The sequence below is a fragment of the Homo sapiens genome, chromosome 8 (genome assembly GCF_000001405.40).
Source record: "Homo sapiens chromosome 8, GRCh38.p14 Primary Assembly".
NCBI lineage: Eukaryota > Metazoa > Chordata > Mammalia > Primates > Hominidae > Homo > Homo sapiens.
In genome coordinates, this window is record NC_000008.11 from 27,061,110 (window position 1) to 27,069,091 (window position 7,982).

Genomic DNA, 7,982 nt, shown 5'->3' on the forward strand with positions numbered 1-7,982 from the left:
GTCATTCAGGAGTAGGTTGTTCAGTTTCCATGTAGTTGAGTGGTTTTGAGTGAGTTTCTTAATCCTGAGTTCTAGTTTGATTGCACTGTGGTCTGAGAGACAGCCTGATATGATTTCTGTTCTTTTACATTTGCTGAAGAGTGCTTTACTTCCAACTATGTGGTCAATTTTGGAATAAGTGTGATGTGGTGCTGAGAAGAATGTATATTCTGTTGATTTGGGGTGGAGAGTTCTGTAGATGTCTATTAGGTCCGCTTGGTGCAGAGCTGAGTTCAATTCCTGGATATCCTTGTTAACTTTCTGTCTCACTGATCTGTCTAATGTTGACAGTGGGGTGTTAAAGTCTCCCATTATTATTGTGTGGGAGTCTAAGTCTCTTTGTAGGTCACTAAGGACTTGTTTTATGAATCTGGGTGCTCCTATATTGGGTGCATATATATTTAGGATAGTTAGCTCTTCTTGTTGAATTGATCCCTTTACCATTATGTAATGGCCTTCTTTGTCTCTTTTGATCTTTGTTGGTTTAAAGCCTGTTTATCGGAGACAGGATTGCAACCCCTGCCTTTTTTTGTTTTCCATTTGCTTGTTAGATCTTCCTCCATCCCTTTATTTTGAACCTATGTGTGTCTCTGCATGTGAGATGGGTCTCCTGAATACAGCACACTGATGGGTCTTGACTCTTTATCCAATTTGCCAGTCTGTGTCTTTTAATCGGAGCATTTAGCCCATTTACATTTAAGGTTAATATTGTTATGTGTGAATTTGATCCTGTCATTATGATGTTAACTGGTTATTTTGCTCGTTAGTTGATGCAGTTTCTTCCTAGCATCGATGGTCTTTACAATTTGGCATGTTTTTGCAGCGGCTGGTACCGGTTGTTCTTTTCCATGTTTAGTGCTTCCTTCAGGAGGTCTTGTAGGGCAGGCCTGGTGGTGACAAAATCTCTCAGCATTTGCTTGTCTGTAAAGGATTTTATTTCTCCTTCACTTATGAAGCTTAGTTTGGCTGAATATGAAATTCTGGATTGAAAATTCTTTTCTTTAAGAATGTTGAATGTTGGCCCCCACTCTCTTCTGGCTTGTGGAGTTTCTGCCGAGAGATCAGCTGTTAGTCTGATGGGCTTCCCTTTGTGGGTAACCCGACCTTTCTCTCTGGCTGCCCTTAACATTTTTTCCTTCATTTCAACTTTGGTGAATCTGACAATTATGTGTCTTGGAGTTGCTCTTCTCGAGGAGTATCTTTGTGGCATTCTCTGTATTCCCTGAATTTGAATGTTGGCCTGCCTTGCTAGGTTGGAGAAGTTCTCCTGGATAATGTCCTGAAGAGTGTTTTCCAACTTGGTTCCATTCTGTCCGTCACTTTAAGGTACATCAATCAGATGTAGATTTGGTCTTTTCACATAGTCCCATATTTCTTGGAGGCTTTGTTCATTTCTTTTTACTCTTTTTTCTCTAAACTTCTCTTCTCGCTTCGTTTCATTCATTTGATCTTCAATCACTGATACCCTTTCTTCCGGTTGATCGAATCGGCTACTGAGGCTTGTGCATTCGTCACGTAGTTCTCGTGCCATGGTTTTCAGCTCCATCAGGTCCTTTAAAGACTTCTCTACACTGGTTATTCTAGTTAGCCATTCGTCTAATCTTTTTTCAAGGTTTTTAGCTTCTTTGCAATGGGTTTGAACTTCCTCCTTTAGTTTGGAGAAGTTTGATCATCTGAAGCCTTCTTCTCTCAACTTGTCAAAGTCATTCTCCGTCCAGCTTTGTTCCATTGCTGGCAAGGAGCTGCGTTCCATTGGAGGGGGAGAGGTGCTCTGATTTTTAGAATTTTCAGCTTTTCTGCTCTGTTTTTTCCCCATCTTTGTGGTTTTATCTACCTTTGGTCTTTGATGATGGTGATGTACAGATGGGTTTTTGGTATGGATGTCCTTTTTCTTTGTTAGTTTTCCTTCTAACAGTCAGGACCCTCAGCTGCAGGTCTGTTGGAGTTTGCTGGAGGTCCACTCCAGACCCCTGTTTTCCTGGGTATCAGCAGCAGTGGCTCCAGAACAGCGGATATTGGTGAACTGCAAATGCTGCTGCCTGATTGTTCCTCTGGAAGTTTTGTCTCAGAGGAGTACCCGGCCATGTGAAGTGTCAGTCTGCCCCTACCTGGGGGGTGCTTCCCAGTTAGGCTACTTGGGGATCAGGGACCCACTTGAGGAGGCAGTCTGCCCATTCTCAGATCTCAAGCTGTGTGCTGGGAGAAACACTACTCTCTTCAAAGCTGTCAGACAGGGACATTTAAGTCTGCAGAGGTTACTGCTGCCTTTTGTTTATCTGTGCCCTGCCCCCAGAGGTGGAGCCTACAGAGGCAGGCAGGCCTCCTTGAGCTGTGGTGGGTTCCACCCAGTTCGAGCTTCCTGGCCACTTTGTTTACCCACTCAAGCCTCGGCAATGGCAGGCGCCCCTCCCCCATTCTCACTGCTGCCTTGCAGTCTGATCTCAGACTGCTGTGCTAGCAATGAGTGAGGCTCCATGGGCGTGGGACCCTCTGAGCCAGTCACAGGATATAATCTCCTGGTGTGCCATTTGCTAAGACCATTGGAAAAGTGCAGTATTAGGGTGGGAGTGACCTGATTTTCCAAGTGCCATCTGTCACCCCTTCCCTTGGCTAGGAAAGGGAATTCCCTGACCCCTTGCACTTCCTGGGTGAGGCGATGCCTGCCCTGCTTCGGCTCACACTCGGTGGGCTGCACCCACTGTCCTGCCCCCACTGTCCGATGATCCCCAGTGAGATCAACCCGGTACCTCAGTTGAAAATGCAGAAATCACCCATCTTCTGCGTCACTCACCCTGGGAGCTGTAGACTGGAGCTGTTTCTATGCGGCCATCTTGGAACCAAGCCAATTTTTTATTTTAATGTAATCAGAATATGCACAGCACATGCAGTTCTAGCATCTAAGCTAATACAATAAGCAATTACTAAAGCCACAGTGACTTGAGGTTCAATCTTTACATTCAGCAAGTTTAAATTCTTACATGATTTTTGAAACCTTATTAACTGAAAATATTGCTTGCTGATAAAAACTTGCTCAAATGCTGTTGCTGAAGGTACAAGTCACTAATTATGCCAATACAACAAGATAACCACGTTTGAGGATTGCAATGTGCCAGACATTCACTGAAAAAAAAAAATCACAACTAAACAAAATTCACACAACAAACATCTGAGAATCTGGACACTTCACATCAGTGTTTTGAAATGTTTCATTAACATCTTAAGACAAGTGTATCAAAACCTTGGCATGATTTAATTTCAAGTCACCAATTATGTTTTTACTAACATCAGAAAGTTATGGCTACACTGCCAAGGCCGGGTCTGCTTAATTTGACTTAAGAGTTTAATATGACTTAACATTAAAAGCTCACACTACCCCGAAATATATAATTTCACGCATATGGTGACATTCAACATTCAAGTGCCAGTGTTTTTATACTGTGTTTTGGTCAAGTTTCTTTAAACTTTCAAAGAATCACTTTTAGGCTTACAAAAATAAATAATTGCCAAAATGTTCAAAAATTATTACATAAAACTAGCAGCAAAAATTATCTAGAAATCTGTCATGTGCAAATAGTTTTCTTCCCAACTATCATTCCCATGGTCCCAGATAAATTTTAGAATCTAGTCCCATCCCCTTCCTAGAAAAGCTGTGTTAAACAATCTCCAAGAGACAAAGTAAGATTGGAAGTTTAAGGACACGCACACAAGACATATATATAAAATTCTCTGAATGTGCAATAAAAGAAGTACTTTGTAAAAAGTTTTGGGCAAAATGTACAAGGGCTTAAACTTAGACTAACTGAAATAGCACCATAACAAATGACCTCAATACTGTCAAGTGCACCTACTTAATAAAAGTTTTAGAACAAGGCACAATACACTTGAAAATCTATTGCACTTTAGGAAATTTTTGCCGTCTTCCTATGCCACTGTAAAAAGATGGAGCATTTTGATCACTTCATTCTGGCCACAAAATTAGCACAGAATTCAAAGTGGCAGAGGCATTTTAGTGGTGGACAATGCTCACCTTTGGCCAGATTTAGCATAAACAGACTATAAATACAATGGAAACCTATGCAACTAAAACTGCACTGTAGAGCAGAATTGACACCTTATGCAATTATGTACATATTTCCAACCTGTGTGATCTCAAAGATTTCAGTTTGTTACTCTTCTGGAGTCATTTTTACAAAGTGTATAGTAAGCCAGTTTAACATCTCAATGCATGTTAGAACAACTGGACAGCCACATGCAAAAACAAGGAAACAAACCACAAATCTAGACACCCTACAACTTTCACAAAAATTAACTTAAATGATAGGTTATATATCTAATTGTAAAATGAAAGCCTATAAAGTTCTAGAAGATAACATAGAAGACAATCTAGGTGACTTTGGTTTTGGCAACGAGTTTTGAGATAAACACTGCAGTAAATTCAATAATTCGGCTGTTGATTAAGGAAGAGGCAGGAACAGGAGAAGCAGTAACATGCAACAAGCTTTACTGAGCAGCTCTTAAGCAGAATTGCATGGGAGGAGAAGCTCCTCCCAGCAAGAGACTTCTCAGAGAAGACAAACACTATTAAAAAGGGCACCATCCAGAAAGGGAATAGGGCAAGGAACTCACTGGAAGAAAAAGGGGATATTTAAGAGGGGGATATGTTTCTAGGCCATGTCCTGTAGCAATAAGGTGGGGAGTTTTGAGTAAGAGAGCTCCAAAAAACAGCAGTGGTTTATAGTATTTTATACCTACAAGGTAGGTCTTAATTACGGTTAGCAGATGTTGAATGCAGTTTTACGGGGTATGCAAAGTAGACAGACTTTTTGAAAATATGTTTATTTTGACTATATTTAAAGCAACTGGATGTGTAAGAATTTGAGCTTAGTGCCTGTGGGATTTCAGCTAACAATCCTAGGCTGATATGAAGAGATAACAACTTGGGGGTGTTTAAAGTCAGTAAACAGTGGCCATCTTTAGTTTGTTTATATAAGAAACAGTACAAGTACACTCAATGAAAGAAAAATTGGTAATTTTTATTTTAAAATTATTTTAAAATTTTAAAATTTTTTATTTTATTTTTATTTTAAAATTAAAATTTCTGCTCTGCAAAAGGCACTGTGAAGAGAATGAAAAGCCACAACCTGGAGGCTTGGAGAAAATATTTGCAAAACACATATCTGATAAATAACTTGTATCCAAAATAGGTAAAAACAAAACAACTCTTAAAACTCAACATAAGAAAACAAAAAACCCAATTTCAAAATAGGCAAATGATCTAAACAGACACATAACCAAATAATATACATAAATGGCAACTAAGCGTATGTGAAAAGCTATTCAGTAGCATATGTCAATAGGAAATTGCAAATTAAAATGATGAGATACCACTGCGCATGTGTTAGAATGGCTAAAACCCAAAACACTGACAACACCCAATGCTGATGAGGATGTGGAGCAACAGGAACTCCTAGTCATTGCTGGTGAAAATGAAAAATAGCAGAGTCACTTTGAAAGACACTGTGGCAGTTTCTTACAAAGCTAAACATAGTCTTACCATACAGTCCAGCAATTGTGCTCCTTGATACGTAACCAAATAAGCTGAAAACTTTTGTCTTCACAAAGACCTGTGCACAGTATTTATAACAGCTTTTATTCATAATTGCCAAGACTTAGAAGCAAGCAGAGTACCTTTAAATTTTTTTTATTTTGAATTTTTATGGAGATGTAATACTTGTACATATTTATGGGATACATGTACTATTTTAAAACATGCACACAATATCTAATTATCAAATCTGGTAATATCTAATGCCTCAAATATATATCATTTCTTTATGTTGGGAATGTACCAAATTTACTCATAATTATTTTAAAACACACAATAAATTATTGTTAACTGTAGTTGACCTACTGTGCTATAGGACACTAGAATTTATTCCTCGTATCTCCCTGTAATTTTATACCTATTATATCTCTCTGCCCACTAAGCTTCTCAGCCTCTGGTAACAGCCATTCTTTTCACTACCTTCATGAGATCAATTTTTTAGCTCCCACATATGAGTCAGAATATGTGACATTTATCTTTGTGTGCCTGACTTATTTCACTTCACATAATGTCCTTTAGTTTCATCTATGTTTTGCAAAGTACAGGATTTTATTTTTTTTTATGGTGGGACAATAGTCCGTTGTGTGTATATACCATATTTTCTTTATCCCATCATCTCTGATGGACACTTAGGTTGATTTCATATCTTGGCTATTGTGAAAAGTGCTACAAAAAACATGGGAGTTCAGATATCTCTTCGATATGTTGATATCCTTTCTTTTGGATGTATAACCAATGGTGGAATTGCTGAATTACCTGGTAGTTCTAGTTTTAGTTTTGGAGAAATCTCCATACTTTAGTGGCTGTACTAATTTGCATTTCTGCCCACAATATATGAATATTTCCCTTTCTCCGCATCCTCATTAGTATTTGTTATTTTCTGTCTTTTTGATAATAGCCATTTTAACTTGGGTGAGTGATACTTATTTGTGGTTTTGATTTGCATTTCCCTGACGATTAGTGATTTTGAGCATTTTTTCATATACGTGTTGTCCATTTGTATGTCTTCTTTTTAGAAATATCTATTCAAATCTTTTGCCATTTTTAATTGAATTATTTGTGTTTCTGCTATTGAGTTGTTTCAGTTTCTTATGTATTCTAGTTATCAATCCCTTGGCAGTTAAATAGTGTGCAAATATTCTCCTATTCTGTAGGTTGTCTCTTTGCTTTGTTGATTGATTTCTTTGCTGTGCAGAGCTTTTAAGGAAGAAGTAAAATTGTCTTTCTTTGCAGGCAGTATAATCTTATATTTAGGAAAACCTAAAGACTCCACCACAAAACTATTAGAACTGATAAATGAATTCAGTGAAGTTGCAGGATACAAAGTCAACGTATGAAAATCAGTAGCATTTTAATATGCCAACAGCAAATGATCTGAAAACAAAATCAAGAAAGCAATCCTGTTTACAATAGCTATAGAAAAAAAGTACTTAGGAGTAGACTTAACCAAAGAAGTGAAAGATCTTTACAAGGAAAACTATAAAACACTGATGAAAGAAATTGAAGAGGGCACACAAAAAATGGAAAGATATCCCATGTCCACAGATTGGAAGAATCAATATTGTTAAAATATCAATACTACTCAAAGCAATCTACAGAATCAATGCAATCCCTATCAAAATACCAGTGACATTCATCATGGAAATAGGACAAACAATCCTGAAATTCATATGGAACCACAAAAGGTCCTGAATAACTGAAGAAATCCTGAGCAGAAAGAAAAAAGCAGGAGGCTGTTCTTGTTTGCTGTTGGCATATAAAAATACTACCAATTTTTGTATTCAAAATGCTACTGATCTTTCATTTTCATCATATTACCTGACCTCAAGTTATACTACAAGCTGGGTGTGGTGGCTTGGACCTATAGTCCCAGATACTTGGGGGCTGAGTTGGGAGGAAAACTTGAGCCCAGGAGTTCAGGGCTGCAGTGAGCAATGATCATGCCACTGGACTCCAGCCTGGATGACAGGGAAACAGGGAAAGACTCCACCTCTAAACACACACACACACACACACACACACACACACACACACACACTCACTATAAAGCTATAATAACCAGAACATCATGGTACTGACATAAAAACAGACACATAGACCAATGGAACAGAATAGAGAACCAAGAAATAAATCCATATATCTATAGTCAACTCATTTTTGACAAAGGCACCAAGAATGTACAATGGGGAAAGGACAGTCTCTTAAATAAATGATTCTGGAAAAACCGGATATCCATATGCAGAAGAAAGAAACTGGACCCCTATCTCTTACCATACACAAAAATAAAATCAAAATGGATTAATCCTTTAAATGTAAGACCTGAAACTATGAAACTACT